The sequence below is a fragment of the Homo sapiens genome, chromosome 8 (assembly GCF_000001405.40).
Source record: "Homo sapiens chromosome 8, GRCh38.p14 Primary Assembly".
NCBI classification, from domain to species: domain Eukaryota; kingdom Metazoa; phylum Chordata; class Mammalia; order Primates; family Hominidae; genus Homo; species Homo sapiens.
In genome coordinates, this window is record NC_000008.11 from 95,039,581 (window position 1) to 95,055,915 (window position 16,335).

The window sequence follows — 16,335 nt, forward strand, 5'->3', positions numbered from 1 at the left end:
ATTTTCTAAGAATAGTGATACTTATAATCAGGACAGTTTTTTTTTTTATTTCTATTTTTTTCCTAAAGATAGGATCTCGCTGTGTTGCCCAGGCTGGAGTGCAGTGTGGTGATCATAGCTCACTGCCACCTTGAATTCCTGGGCTTTATCCTCCTGCGTCAGCCTTCTGAGTAGCTGGAACTACAAGCACGTACCAGCAAGCTCAGCTAATTTTTAAATGTTTTGTAGAGATGAGGTTGCTATGTTGCCCAGGCTGGTCTTGAACTCCTGAACTCCTGAACTCAAGTGATCCTCCTGCCTTGCCTCCCAAAGTGCTGGGATTATAGGCGTGAGTCACTGTGCCCGGCCAGAACAGTTACTGGCTTTAGTAAATTTAACTTTGATAGAACAATTTCATCTAATTTTCCATTCATATTCCAATTTTGTCAGATGACCTAATAATGTCTACAGTATCATTTTTCCCTTCCAGTATAGGATCTGATCTTGGGTCATGTACTTAATTGTCTTGTCTCTGTAGTTTGTTTTAATCTGGAACATTTCCGTAGCTTTTTTTAGCCCTTTATGACATGTATATTTTTGAAGAGTATCCCCCCGACCTCGTCTTTTTAAAACACTAATTTTGGATTTGTCTGATGTTTTGTCATGATTAGATTGAAGTTATGGATTCTTAGCTGGCAGCCATACTTCATAGGTGGTATGTCCTTCTCAGAGTATCACATGTAGAGGCACAATTCGTCTACCTGTCCTTTATGGCACTGTTAATTTTTATTACTTAGTCACAATTTTGCCTGGTTTTCCCACTGTATAATTCTGCTTGCAGTAATCAACAGTTTTTGAGGAGACATTTTAAGACTGCAAATATCCTGCTCCTCATCAAAATTTCTCCCTAAACTTAGTAGCCATTAATGGTTCTTGTCTGATTCAGTCTTTACTCTTATAGTTGCAAAATGATAACTTCTCAACTTCAGTACTTGGTCCACATTTACCAGTTGGCACTTAGTATTCTGCTATAAGAATGAGCTCTTATTTTCCTATATTTATTTGTTTATTAATTATTGGTGTAGACTCATGATTTCTTGTTTTTTACAGTTTATAATTCACTCATGTACTGATTTTGGTGTTCAGGTTGTCCCAGCTTTGGACAGCGGAAACTCCTTCACAGCGGCTGCTATGTCCTTGTGACACGCTTCCGTCATTTTTTGGAGCACTTTCTTATTTTCTGACACAATAAGATATTCTAGGATCCTTTTGAATCTCTCCCCTGCCTCACCTTTGGAATCGCCCATTTCTCGAGAGCCCTGATTCCTTTAAGGAGAATGGTAGTAGAGACAAGTGTCTGGGCACTAGGTGAGCTCTTTCCTACTGGAGTGTCTTTACTTGCTAAGGTAACAATTTACCATGTGGATTATTTTTGTTGGAGTTTTAGTTACTCTATTTTTCGAGGAGTGGTTATTTTTGCTAAATAGAATCTTTATCCTGTGGAAAACAATTTGCGTATAATGAGTAAGTATAGAAGTCAGGGTGGCTAGGCACAGTGGCTCATGCCTATAATACCAGCACTTTGGGAGGTTGAGGCAGGAAGATAATTTGAACACAGAAGTTCAAGACCAGCAACATAGGGAGACCCTGTCTCTACAATTTAAAAAAATAAAAAAGTCAGGGTATATCACTTAATAGAGAAGCTCAGTACTTAATGCTTAATTCTGGTTTTGTTTTGTTTGAAAGTGGAATTGTTAAATTATTAGCAGTATAGGAAAAAAAGACAAGTTAGTAGAAAAGTATTAGAAGTATAGTCTTATAAATGTTTTGAAATATTTTCTAGGGACATTTTCTTTTTCCCTGATACTTCTTTAACATAGCTGTCTATATGGTGATGTTATTACAAATGTTCCCTTACTTAGTTTTGTATTTGGTTTGTTCATTTTATTCAGATCTACAGAAGTCATTTCTAGTACTTTCTAAAAACTTATAATGCTCTTTGTTTTTTAGGCTGTTAAAAGACATAATCTGACTAAAAGATGGCTTATGAAAATCGTCGATGAAAGAGTGAGTCAAAATTGTTCAAGTCTTAAGTTTTTTCTTCCTGTTTAATTCTTAAGCTAATTCTTCAAGAAGGACATTTTTTGACTGTATATTAATATTTTGGAGGAAGGAAACTTTTAGAGAATTATGCCATTTTATTCATACTTTACCCTTGCATGCTACCCCCCATACCCTCACATTGAGACAGACAAGCACCAAGGCAGAGGCATGTGTATGCACAACCACACTCCACTATTTTGGTTTTTTCAAAAGGAAATTTTCATACTTACATAAAAGTAGAGAGACTACTCTACATGTGTAGAGTATCTGGTGACATGTTAAAGAAAATCCCAGACATCTTATCATTTGATTTGTAAATACATATATATCTTAAAAAGATAAAGACAAAAAACATAGCCATGATATGATTATCATACCTTAAAAATTACTAATTATTCCTTAATATCATCAAATACTTGATTAGTCATACACATACCTTTAAATATACCCCAGTACTTGGATCGGTGTCTAAATAGTAGAGGGCATAAAGAAAGTCTGACAGTTCCAGTGAATGGAATCCTGTACTAAATTCTTAGAACTGAGTTCTAGGTCCAGCCAAGTCAGTGAATTGCTGTGTGACCTGGCCTAACATGTGTGACCTTTCTGATGCATTGTTAGGTCTGTGTTCCCCTTGGCCTGATATTAATTACATGCTGTTGTCATGGAAATATGTAAGTTTACTTAGTTTATTTAGATAGTTTGCTAACTATAGGCTGTAGCAATAACAAGAAGAAGCCAAAAAGATATATTAGCTAAGAAGACCTATTTTCAGGTGTCATCTTTTCTGTTTTACAAGGTAAAGAAAATTAGGGAACTCAAGACAGAGATACCATTTTAGTTTAATGAAAAATAACACTTGGCTTTTGAAGGGGGGGATATTTAAAAGTAAAGAACTGTGAACAAACATTGATCTATAGATTCAGTGCAATCCTTTTCAAAATTCCAGCTTTCTTTTTTGCAGAAATTGACAAACTGGTCCTAAAATTCATATGGAAATGCAAGGGACCCAGAATAGCCAGAATAATCTTAACAAAGAAGAACAAAGTTAGAGGGCTCACATTTCCTGATTTCAGAACTTAACTACAAAGCTACAGTAATCAAACTGTGTGTTACTGATAAAGGGTAGACATATAGATCAATGGAATAGAAATGAGAGTCCAGATATAAACCCATATATTTATAGTCAATTGAGTGACAAGGGTGTCAAGACACTTCACTGGGGAAAGAACAGTCTTTGCAACAAATGGTGCTGGGACACTTGGATACCTCTTGCAAAAGAATAAGTTTTGACCCCTCCCTCACACCATATACAAAAATGAACTCAAACTAAATTAAAGACCTAGATGTAAGAGCTAAAACTGTGAAACTCTTAGGGGAAAGCATAGGTGTAAATCTTAATGACTTTTAGGTTAGGCAGTGGTTTCTTTTTTTTTTTTTTTTTGAGATGGAGTCTCGCTCTGTTGCCAGGCTGGAGTGCAGTGACACGATCTCGGCTCACTGCAATCTCCGCCTCCTGGGTTCAAGCAGTTCCCCTGCCTCAGCCTCCTGAGTAGCTGAGACTACAGGTGTGCGCCACCACACTCGGCTAATTTTTTTTTTTTGTATTTTAGTAGAGATGGGGTTTCACCATGTTGGCCAGGATGGTCTTGATCTCCTGACCTCGTGATCCACCCGCCTCAGCCTCCCGAAGTGCTGGGATTACAGGCTTGAGCCACCGCGCCCTAGGCAGTGGTTTTTTAGATGTGATACCAAAGGCACAAGCAAGAAAAGAAAAAATAGATAGATTGGACTAAAAGAAAAAAATTATTTGCCAGTTATATATCTGATAAGGGACAATTATCTAAAATATGCAAGAAACTCTTACAACTCAAGAATAAAAAAAAAATCCTAATTTAAAAATGGGGAAAGGATTTGAGTAGACATTTCTCCAGATAAGGTGTACAAATGACCAATAAGCATCTGAAAAGATGTTCAGCATCTTTTCATTAGAGAAATGCAAATTGAAACAAAGAAACATCACTTCACAGCTGTTGGGATGGCTGTGATAAAAAAGAAAAAAGATGCACGATAACAAGTATTGGTGAGAACAGGGAGATGTTAAAACCTTTCGTACATTGCTGGTGGGAATGTGAAATGGTGCAGCTGCTTTGGAAAAATAGTTTGGCAACTTTTTCTTCGAAGAGATAAACATAGGAGTTATCATAGACCCAGAAATTCTACCCCTAGGTTTATACCCAAGATAAATGAAAACATATGTCCACCCAGAACTTGTATATGAATGTTTGTAGCAACATTATTCATGAAAGCCCGAAAGTAGAAAGAACTCATAGTCTGTTAATGAGTTGTTAAACAAAATGTTGTATATCCATACAATGGAATATTATTCATAATTTATTCAACTAAAAAGAATAAAGTACCAATAGATGAAGCAAACAATATGCTAATTGAAAGAAGCCAGATACAAAAAGCTACATATTATACGATTCCATTTGTATGAAATGCCCAGAATAGACAAATCCATGAAGATGAAAAGTAGATTAGTGGTTTGCCAGGGCTGAGGAGGGGGGGAAATGGGAAGTGTCTGCTTAATGGATGCAACTTTTCTTTTGGGGGTCATTAAAATATTCTGGAATTAGATAGTAGTGATAGCTGCACAACTTTGTGTATATACTAAAAACCACTGAATTGTATTATTTGAAGGGATAAATTTTATGGTATGTTAATTATGTCTCAAAAAAAACCATAAAGGATGCATTTTTTTTCCTGGAATCATTGCTGATGTCATTTTCTTTTTTTTTTTTTTTTTTGAGACAGAGTCTCACTCTTGTCGCCCAGGCTGGAGTACAATGGCACGACCTTGGCTCACTACAACCTCCACCTCCCGGGTTCAAGTGATTCTCCTGCCTCAGCTTCCCGAGTAGCTGGGATTACAGGTGCCTACCACAATGCCCAGCTGACTTCTTTTGTATTTTTGGTACAGACAGGGTTTTACCATGTTGGCTAGGCTGGTCTTGAACTCCTGACCTCAGGTGATCTGCCCATCTCGGCCTCCCAAAGTGCTTGGATTACAGGCATGAGCCACCGCACCCAGCCTCTTTTTTTTTTTTTTAAACCCTGCATGTGGCATTTGATGCTGGTGTTAGTTTTTTCTGATTTTAAAGAGGGTGAAATAGGGGATAATATTTTGCCCTAATAATAGTCTTTGTAAAAGTGGCTAAGTGTTCTCGCTATTAGATTCTCATTTTTCTGTTTCTTGCATATAGTGTATCTAGGGAATCAACCCTGTTATTTTATTGAGCATGGTTTCTTTTTAGGGGATGAGGTGGGCACTGGTTTCTGTTTTCTTTTTCTAGGTACCTTTTCCTCATTGAGCATGTAGATTCAAGAGTCAAATATGTGGGTTCCCGTCCCCACCATTTATTTATTAACTGTGTGTCTTTGGACATGTTAATGTGTCCATGCCTCAGTTTCTTCATTTGTAAAATGGGAAAAGTATTAATTCCTTATCTCTTGGAGGGGGGGTTGTTTGGGTTAAGAAGATAATGTCTAAAGTGCCTACGTAATGTCTAAAGTGCCTATGTAAGAGCTCAGTAAAGTCAGTTTATTTTGATAACTTGGGCTTCAGATGAAATTTAAAAAAAATGCCATGTCCATGGTGATTTGTATATTGAGGTTATTCCTGATGTCTTATTTTGAGGTGGTGATTTCAAAGTATTGAATGTGTAGAACTTCAATATTGTAATGTTTTATCTTATTGTGTACTAAATAACATATACTGAATATTTTTATTCGTTATTCAGTTCTTTGGGGCAAAAAACAGCACCTTTTCTTTCTAAAATATTGACAGTTCAACAGACTTTATTTGCATTTTATTTGATGTAGGAAAAAAATCTGGATGACAAAGCATATCGTAATATCAAGGAACTGGAAAATTATGCTGAAAACACACAGAGCTCTCTTCTTTACTTAACACTAGAAATATTGGGTAAGTTGTTTTTCTGTTTCATACTTCTTTTTTCCAATAAAATACCTATGAGATTTCACTTTTTCATAATTTGGTAATCTAACCAGTTTAGCACTAAAGCCTTCCTTTATACTATCTGTAAAGGAACAGTTTTTTTTGTTATTATTATTAGCAAGAAGAAGAATTTATATCTCTTTCTTTGTAATGCAGAGTAATCCAAGACTCAGGCTCTCATACAACTACTTTACCTCATGGGAATGTTGAAATTAATAATCTGGTAATTGCAAGTGGCTTTACTTTTTTACTATAGCATCTCCTACAATTTGGAAGGCCTATAGCCTGACTCTTCCTTTCGTGTTAATAGTACTTATCCATGGAAAAAGAAAAGTAGAAGAAGTAAAACACATTTATTTTATTTTATTTTATTTTATTTTATTTATTTTATTTTATTTTATGATGGAGTCTCGCTTTGTCCCCAGGCTGGAGTGCAGTGGCTCAATCTCGGCTCACTGCAACCTCTGCCTCCCGGATTCAAGTGATTCTCCTGCCTCAGCCTCCTGAGTAGCTGGGACTACAGGGACGTGCCACCACGCCCAGCTAAATTTTGTACTTTTAGTAGAGACGAGGCCAGAATGGTCTCGATCTCTTGACCTCGTGATCTGCCCGCCTCGGCCTCCCAAAGTGCTGGGATTACAGGCGTGAGCCACAGTGCCTGGCCTAAAACTGCATTTATAAAAGTTTTTGAGATTTTTCTTTCTCTGCTTTTTTAAAAACAAAATTTTGATGGTAGGATTTCTTCTCTGACTTTGTTGCCAGTTAGTGAGGTCTTATTGAAATAAGGAAATTATTTGGGCCAAGGACAATACCATCTCATTTGAAGAAGGTAATATATATCTCTATACCTCCCTAAAAGAATAATACAAGTCCCCATTGCATCTCCCAGGCCTATTCTGGCCCACAGCTCTGGTGACATGTTTGCCATCACAATGAAAGGAGGGAGCAAAGAGTAGAATGTTTGTTAAGCATATTCTTAAAATGAGATCATATGGAAATTGCACAGAGGAGAAGAAATGGAAGACTTGTAAAGTTTTTCCATGATAGCCGATTAAAATTCTAAATGTGTTCTTAGTGTGCTGTAGTCTGAGGAAAACTCTTATTTAAAAGTTGAGATTGAGATTTAGATATCTGCTAGTGGTAAATGGTCAACTTGTTATTGTGCCCAGTTTTTCACTCATAAATCCTGTTTTTCAGATGTAAAACAGGATAAATGTCTCCTTTTACATGTTTAGGTTATTTCTCTATGCTATTTCTATTGATTTATTATGCACTTAGAATAGAGCAGCCCTGTGTAATTTCTGAAATCATAGGTATAAAGGATCTTCATGCAGATCATGCTGCAAGTCATATTGGAAAAGCACAAGGCATTGTCACTTGCTTGAGAGCAACACCATATCATGGGAGCAGAAGAAAGGTGTTCCTTCCCATGGATATTTGTATGCTGGTAAGGCTGTAATTTGTACCTTTGAATAATTTACCTCAGGAATATGGGGAAGGAAGTTATCTTTTGCTTTTTTGCTTAGTCTATTCAAGTAATTGCTTTGAAAGGAATGCTTATTGCTTACTAAAAATGGCCTTCCTCTTTTTATCCCAGAGTTATCAAGTCAGAATTGTGTCCATCAGGCATTTTAGGTCTCTGGAGGAGCAATGAGTAGGAAGGTCTAGAGAACCTCATTTGGTATAGCTTCATGTTGATGCCTTGCTCCCTTCCAAACAACTGCAGTAATTATTCCTAGCGTTCACCTTAGCCTGTTCTTTATTTTATTTTATTGGAGTAAGTCATTTTAAATATCTGTTTATGAGGACTTTGTTTTCTTTTCTTTTCTTTTTTTTTTTTTTTTTTTGAGACAAAGTCTTGCTCTGTCACCCAGGCTGGAGTGCAGTGGCGTGATCTCGGCTCACTGCAACCTCCGCCTCCTGGGTTAAAGCGATTCTTCTGCCTCGGCCTCCCAAGTAGCTGGGACTACAGGCGCCCGCCACCACGCCCAGCTAATTTTTTGTATTTTTAGTAGAGATGAGGTTTCACCATGTTAGCCAGGATGGTCTAGATCTCCTGAACTCGTGATTCGCTTGCCTCGGCCTCCCAAAGTGCTGGGATTACAGGCATGAGCCACTGCGCCCGGCGAGAACTTTGTTTTCTATATGAGATTCATTATTTGTTCTTTCAAACTTTTTGTATGTTTCTTTTCTTGCTTGTATATTTTCATTCTACCTACAACTTGTTAATTAACATCTTGTTGTGGCCAGGTGCGGTGACTCATGCCTGTAATCCCAGCACTTTGGGAGGGTCGCTTGAGTCCAGGAGGTTGAGACCAGCCTGGGCAATATTGGGAAACCCCATCTCTACAAAAAATACAAAAATTAGCTGGGTGTGTTGGTGCACACCTATAGTCCCAGCTACTCAGGAGGCCAAGGTGGGAGGATCCCTTGAGCCTGGGAGGTTGAGGCTATAATGAGCCATGATTGCACCACTGCACTCCAGCCTGGGTGACAGAGTAAGACCCTGTCTCAAAAAACAAAAAATCTTGTTGCATGTTCCAGGTGTCACTCTCTCATTTTTGTTTTTTTTTCTCTCTCTCCACACATGCACACACACGCACGTGCTCACATACATTTCTAAAGACAAAATAGGCATTAAACTGTACATACTGTTCTGTCACGTGTTCTCTTGTGCTAAGTTAGTTTTAATTGTTAGTTTAATTTTCTTTCCTAGGTGAACTGTTGGAAGGAAGTGCTTTTAGGTTCCTAATATAATGTATATTTCCCCACACAGCATGGTGTTTCACAAGAGGACTTTCTACGGAGGAACCAAGATAAAAATGTGAGAGATGTAATATATGACATTGCCAGTCAAGCACACTTGCACCTAAAGCATGTAAGTCGGCTTTTTTTTGCCAAATCATTTAGGGAATAATCATTTCTAGATGTGGCTCTTCTTAGAACATGGTTATGATATTCCCAACTTGGCAGTCTTTTTTCCATTTTTCATTGATTTCCCAGTAGATTTATCTCGGAGTCTGTTGTAAACTTTTTTCACTTAAAAAAGTCCCTCCCCCCACCTCACAGCATATGAATGCGTTCTCTACTGAGTAAATCAAGCCTGAGCTTTCTCATGTGGGCTCCTCTGTGCTCCATCCACTTCTCTCTTGGAAGACAGGGTGTCTTTCTGCCTTCCAAGGCTGATGCCTCTCGTCCCCCTCCCAGGGGCTGCACCCTCAGCCACCCCCAGCTGGTGTTTTCAGTTTGCTTCTCTGATAGGTGGCCTCTTTTATCTTCTGGTTTGTTGCTGCTGCCTTCTGAATTTACAGGCAGCCTGTGGATCCTTCTGTTGGTATTTTTCTCTCCTAGGTGAACTCTTGGAAGGAGGTGGTCGGCATTCACTGTTACCTCGGGCCCTTTCCACCTTGGCACTGCTCATCATGCTATGATTTGGCTCCTATCCTGCCCACTCTAATAAACAATCACGAGTTTGGCAGTTCTCCTTATTGCCAAATTTAATGGTCATTTACAACTCGTTTTCCTGAACTCTTCTTCTTTTTTTGACACCATAGACGTCTCTCTCTGTGTCACTTTCTGATTTTTCTTCCATTGATTCTCTGACTTGGCTCCTGAACTGGTTCCTGATTTCTCCTGCCTGTCACTTTAGTTGTTCCCTAAGAGTTGGTTCTTCACCTCTTAACTTTTCCAGGACTTTTGTTTGGAATTTGACACTGTTGACTATACACCTCTTTCTTGAAATTGTCTGTCATTCATCTCCATGGTGTTATTCCTTTCTGGTTCTCCTTGAAATGTGTCTTGATTTCAGTGGCTCTTGAAGACTTGGTGGAAACTTTCTATTTCCTTAGCTCCCATAATGCTAATTTTTCCTGGTACTTCTTGTGAACCTTTTCTTTTTTTTAGCCTTCAGTAGATTCTAAAGAGTTGGACACTTACCTGCATACCACAGGGCTTTTGCACTTGCTGTTTTTCCTGCTTCTTCCCCTGTACCCCACCTCCACTCCAGTTAGTGCTCAAATGTCACCTTATCACAAAAGTCTTCCCTGGCCACGTTACCTAAAATAACATCTTCCTTTTCCATCACCCTCAGTCTCCTTACCTGGCTTAGTGCTTTTCACTACCTGACATTAAAAGTTTGCTTATTGCCTCCCCACTTCATTGGAATGTAAGTTACTTTGTTTGATTCTGTTGTATATTCTTCAGCATCTAAAGTACCTGGTACATTATGGGCACTCAGTAAATACTTGTGAAATATTAAATACGTAAGTAATCAGATTGTAAGCTCTTTGAGGGCAAAGACTATCTTCAGCTTCTTTTTAATTTCATGAATATCTAACAGTTCTCGGCCCTGACAGAGGTATAGATAAAATACATGGAACTTTAGATGAGAAATTACTTAGGACTAACTAGCAGAGTTTTGGGTAAGATCTGAGCACACTACAGAATCATGAGAGGCAGGAAAGCTTTGTGTGGAACCTGAGCAGTCCCAGTCAATGGACATGTAAGGCACCTAAGAAATACCGATTCCCAGGCCTCACTCCCTGGAGACTGGGGTAGTAAATCTGGGATGGGGCCAGGAATTAAAATTTCCAAATGATTTTAAACAGCCAGATTTGAACACCACTGGTGGTGTATGGGTTATGCGAAACATGGTCCTGGGAGATAGGTTTGGAATGGTGGATTGAAGAGATTATGGAGTTGTAGAGGCTTTTGAGAGGCATTAGAGTATTGTGGATGAGAGTGCAAACTCTGGAACCAGAAGCCTGACTTTAAATCCTAATTCTGCCATTTACTAATCATGTAATCTTAACCTCTCTGTGCTTTAGTTTCCTCATCTGTAGTAGTGGATCATTTTAGCACCCAGCTTAAAGGGTTATTTGGATAAATGAGTTAACATATATGAAGAGTTTATAATGAAGTGCAGCATATTGTACATGAAATATGTTAGTTTTCATCATCATCATCAAATAAAGCAGTGATATGAGTGTTGCAGAATAGGAAACCCTGCTAGCAGTGTTTGATGAGAGTTTAGAGGTTGGGTGATCAGTTAGGAGACTTAGGAGAGGAAGAAAGAGTGTCTGATTTAGAGACAGTAGATGTTTATGTGTATATACATTTATATATATATGTATACATACGTGCCCACACATAACAAGTAGAATCCCACACGTAACAAGGCTTGATAACTAATTGGATTGTGGCAAGACCAGATAGAGGGAAAGTTGAAGGTTGCATGAAGAATTCAAGTATGGCACTTTGATGGTGCCATTCAAAAGCTACAGTGACAACGGAAACTAAAGGTATGTTTGGTGTGGATCATTAGACTTTGGACTAGCTGCTTGACATAATTGAATTTGAGGGGATTAGAAGGAGATGGACTATTAAAAAAATGCAGGATTGTGACTTAAAGGAAGTCAGGACTAAAGATGATATATTTGGGAGTCATCCACATAAAAGGCTTATAATTAAGGCTCCAAGTTTGGATGGTGTTGCTGAAGGAGAATGTACAGAGGACCAGGGGCAGAACCCCAAGGCCCACTTCTGTTTACAAGGTAAAAGGAGAAAGGGCCATTTATTAGGAGGAAAGAGAAGGAAAGAATGTTCAGAGGAATAGAACTGAGAGCCAGTGTCTTGAAAATCAAGGGAGGAGAAGATTTAAGAAAGAGGAGTATCAGAGTTTTACATGCTACAGAGAGATTGAAGAGAAAAGATAGATGTGGTGATTAGTAAATCATGGATGATCATAGAGTAATTTCAGTAGATGGTTGGGGGTCAAACTGGAGTATAATGGGTTAAGAAGTAAGTCAGGAAGTAGAGGGCTTTTCCTGGTGTTAGGGACAATATAAATGAAGACATGGAGACAGGAGTGGGCTTGGCGAACACAGGATGATGGGCATCAGCCTGAGTGACCAGGTGTTCGTAGCTCAGAGTGGTAGGGAGTTAGGTTGGATGGACGAGGTTAGAGTCAAGATGTGGAGGCCTTTGAATTCCAGGATGAATTGTTGAAACTTGACCTATCAGGGAATTAAAGAAGGTAAAAATGAAATGATGATGTGAGGACATTAATTTGTCCGGCTGCGTGGAACGAATTAAAGGTCAGGGAACACAGGCAAGATCACCTAGGAGGGTCTTACTCATTTAAACAGGAGAGAAAGTCAGTCTAAGCTAGGGGTGCACAGGACTTGGTAATGCAAGTATTTCTTCATTTTCCCCTTACCACAGAGCTGGGGAGTCAAAATTATTATGAGATATTGTAAGGTCGCTGGAAAATGCTAAAGCCAATCTGTAAGAAAGGATGGAATTTTTACTACAGTAGTTACTTTTTCCTGAGTCCTTTAGGCCTAGGAAACTAATCTTAATCTGCAGGAGATGAGCTGTTTTCTTGCATTTGAGAGAGGCCCTATCAGTATTGTTAAACTGCTGGTGTTGCTTTCAGAGGGAGAGTGTTTATTTGCTTAATTTTGAACGAGCTTCCTCTCCTCTTCCTTTTTAGGCTAGGTCCTTTCACAAAACTGTTCCTGTGAAAGCATTTCCTGCTTTTCTTCAGACGGTAAGTAGATTAACAGAGAAGGCTGTATAATTAGTGAAGCAGATGTGTATGATCTGTTTTTATATTTTATAAAGTTCCCAATGAACTTCTTTAGTTCGGAGCCTTTGTTTTTGTTTCCCTCCCTCATGGCGGCTTTCATTAGTTACTGATGCTTTTGCTGAGGGCCATTTCTGTATTTCTCAGAGGCAGGTGAGCTGAGTTTTTAGCACGGACTTTGCAGCCAGATTGCATTGGCTTGAATCTGTTTTGCCCCTTACTAGCAATGGGACCTTAAATTCCTTAAGAACCACATTCCTCAGTTTACTCTTAGGTGAAATGGGAATAATAGGAGAAACTACTTTGTGGGATTGTTAGGCTGCTTATAGCTATATAAGTATTACTATTCTGTTCATTTTTTTTTCCATTGTGACCTGACCGTATTGTAGCACCAGTTCCAGAACAGTGGTTCATAGCCCACTGCTGAGCTGGTTGCAGTGGGGTAACCTGGAAAACTTTTTAAAAATATAGATTCCTGGAGTCTTCTTTTTTAGTAAGACTTTTGGGATTGAGGAGGAGGCCAGTTCCTAGGAGAATCTGTGATTTTAAGAAGTTCCCCAGGTGATTCTGATGCGTAGACAGGTTTGGGAACTGTTGTTCTAAAACTACATAGAGAAGTGATAATTGCTACCAGTTACTTAGAACCTTTTATGAGACAGGGCTTGGGTTAGGTCATTCCATCATTATTCCTAGTCTTCCTAGCAAAAATATGGTTACTTCATTTTATAGATAGAAACGAAGGTTCAAAGATTTGTAATCTTTGAAAATTGTAAACTTACACATTTTCTGTAATACCAAACATATCTTCTACCTTTTCCCCTGAAATATACTTAGAAATTCATTTCAATCCCTTCACACCCTCTGTCTTAGTGTTCAGGTCTGTATGTGAGAAGTCATTTTGCTTCTTAATTGAGCTTTTGCTAATTATAAAAGTAGTACATTAATATTTTAAATTTTCGTAGTGTAAGAGAATACAAAAGAAGAAATCAGAGTTCTCACAATTCTACCGTATCTAGAGATAATGTCTGTTCATCTTTCTGAACCTTTCATATACATATAATCATACATGTATTTTGTGTATGTCAACATGTTATTCTGTATCACCCTGTTTAGTGGTTATCTGATGGATATACCATCAGCTGTTTAACATACTAAGTAAGCTTCGTAAAGGTTAAGGACTTTGTTTTATTAACTTCTGTGGAAAAAGGTGGTTCTCAACCCTGGCTGCCCATTAGAATCACTTGGAGAGCTTTAAAAAGACCTAAACAATGCTTGGCCTCCCCGTTCCAGACCAATTATATTGGTGGACCCAGGCATTGATACTTTTTAAAAGCTTCCCGTTTTACTTTTCTTTCTTTTTCTTTCTTTTTTTTTTTGGAGGCAGATTCTCACTCCATTGCCCAGCCTAGAGTGCAGTGGTGTGATCTTGGCTCACTGCAGCCTCCGCCTCCCAGGTTCAAGTGATTCTCAGGCCTCAGTCTCCTGAGTAGCTGGGATTACAGACATGCACCACCATGCCTGGCTGATTTTTTTGTATTTTTAGTAGAGACAGGTTTTGCCATGTTGGCCAGGCTGGTCTTGAACTCCTGGCCTCAAGTGATCTGCCTGCCTTGGCCTCCCAAAGTGCTGGGATTACAGGTGTGAGCCACCGTGCCCGGCTTTTTTTTTTTTTTTTTTTTTTTTTTTGAGACAAAATCTCACTCTGTTGCCCAGGTTCCCAGGTTGGAGTGCAGTGGTGGAGTCATGGCTCACAGCAGTCTCAACCTCCCAGGCTCAGGTGATCCTCCCACCTCAGCCTCCCAAATAGTTAGGAGCACAGGCATGTATCACCACACCCAGCTAATTTTAAAAATTATTTTTGGAAGAGATGGAATCTCAGTATGTTGTCCAGGCTGGTCTTGAACTTCTGAACCCAAGCAATCCTCCAGCCTTGGCCTCTCAAAGTATTGGGATTACAGGCATAAAACACCGTGCCCAGCCCCCTTTAGTTTTAATTGTGAGGTGTGGCTAGGCCTAAAAACTACTGTCATAGACCAATGGTTCCCAAAATGTTCCTGGACTAGCAATATCTACCTCACTGGGGAACTTGTTAGAAATGCAGATCTTGGGCTCCCTCACAGACCTGCCGAATCAGAAACTCGGGGGGTGGGGCCCAGTTCTCAGCTTCTGCTTTTTTTTTTTTTTTTGAGACGGAGTCTTGCTCTGTTGCTCAGGCTGGAGTGCAATGGCATGATCTCGGCTCACTGCAGCCTCTGCCTCCAGGGTTCAAGCGATTCTCCTGCCTCAGCTTCCCGAGTAGCTGGGATTACAGGCATGCGCCACCATGCCCCGCTAATTTTTATATTTTTAGTAGAGGAGGGGTTTCCCCATGTTGGCCAGGCTGGTCTCGAATGCCTGACTTCAGGTGATCCACCCGCCTTGGCCTCCCACAGTGCTGGGATTACAGGCATGAGCCACTGTGCCCAGCCCCAGCTCTCAGTTTCTGTCCTGTGCCAAGAGAGACTAGAGTGGCAACATGGCAATTCCTGAGGTGCTGCTTCTGTCGTACACCCTCATTCCAGCTTGGACAGGGCCTCTTAATTGTTTTATATATGGGGCATCTGTTAATTATTTTGTTCAAGGAAAGGATTTGCAGTTTAAAAACTCTTTGAATATGACTAATCTAGGTATGGTATATTCTTCATAGATGAGGTTTCAAGAATTCATATTCAGAAATTTATAATGTCTTTGAGAGTTTCACAATCAATTTGTTACTCAGTTTATTTACCATCAGCCAGACTTTCCTTTGAACCAAAGCCTGATGTAAAAATACCCACTTGAGCTCTAATTTTGAGGTCACATTTCCTTGGTATTTTAATGGAATTTTCTCCTAATCCTAAAAGCAATACATTTTCGTAGTAAAGATTTGGACAATATAAACAGTATTAGGAGAAAATAGCAATCACCCATGCTTGCTTTGGCAGCACATATACTAAATTTGGAATGATACAGAGAAGATTAGCATGGCCCCTGCACAAGGATGACACACAAATTCATGAAGCATTCCATTAAAAAAACAAAATCACCTATAATTCTAACACCAAAAGATAACTGCTAGTCATTCTGGGGTTTTTGGAAATGAATTTTTATGTTTAGTTGAAATTACACTTCATGTTAGTGTACTGTTTATTGAGCATTTTTTTGAATCATTAAAAAAAGTATAAATATAACACTTAATAGCTATATAATATCTATTATGTGTCTATACCTTAATTTTGTTAACTATTCCTTATAATTAAATGTCATAAAGCTATTAAAATTAGCATAATTCTTACAGATAGCAAGTTGATCACAGTATATTAAGGGATAAAAAAGCAAGTTACAGAACATGAAATAGCATGAGCTTTCTTTGCAGAGAAAGGGAGCATCTGAAAGGAAGTACACTAAAATATTTTCAAAACCAAGAGAACATGTGAAAGAAAGTACACTGAAATATTTTCAAAGTTTTTTATTCTCTTTTAAACTTGTTAATATTTGCTATATATTAAATGAATATATCTGTCTAGGTATATATATTGCAATGTATAGCATAATAAACACCGATGAACTTACCACTCGAGCCAGGAACTAGTCTGTCACCATTAAATTGGACTCAAGTTTTTCCCATCTC

The 16,335-nt window shown here is 38.7% G+C and overlaps 1 protein-coding gene and 1 pseudogene across 26 annotated transcripts in view; both read left to right on the plus strand.

The window, feature by feature from the left end:
* The window catches only part of NDUFAF6 (NADH:ubiquinone oxidoreductase complex assembly factor 6), a 222,698-nt gene that overhangs the window by 143,782 nt on the left and 62,581 nt on the right, over nucleotides 1-16,335 (plus strand). For 17 of the 26 annotated variants that reach the window (NR_148915.2, NM_001354514.2, NM_001354525.2 and 14 more), the window contains 5 exons: nucleotides 1,990-2,046; nucleotides 5,965-6,067; nucleotides 7,414-7,547; nucleotides 8,877-8,978; nucleotides 12,594-12,650. Coding sequence is in view for 20 of the 26 variants with exons in the window: in NM_001354514.2 (NP_001341443.1) it covers nucleotides 1,990-2,046; nucleotides 5,965-6,067; nucleotides 7,414-7,547; nucleotides 8,877-8,978; nucleotides 12,594-12,650 (453 nt within the window). In the remaining 6 variants the exon portion in view is untranslated. Of the gene's footprint in view, nucleotides 1-1,125; nucleotides 1,348-1,989; nucleotides 2,047-4,896; nucleotides 5,016-5,964; nucleotides 6,068-7,413; nucleotides 7,548-8,876; nucleotides 8,979-12,593; nucleotides 12,651-16,335 lie in introns of all 26 variants that reach the window. The other 9 variants (NR_148914.2, NR_148913.2, NM_001354534.2 and 6 more) reach the window with 4 other exon arrangements.
* On the plus strand, nucleotides 15,635-15,734 carry RNU6-1209P (RNA, U6 small nuclear 1209, pseudogene; annotated as a pseudogene).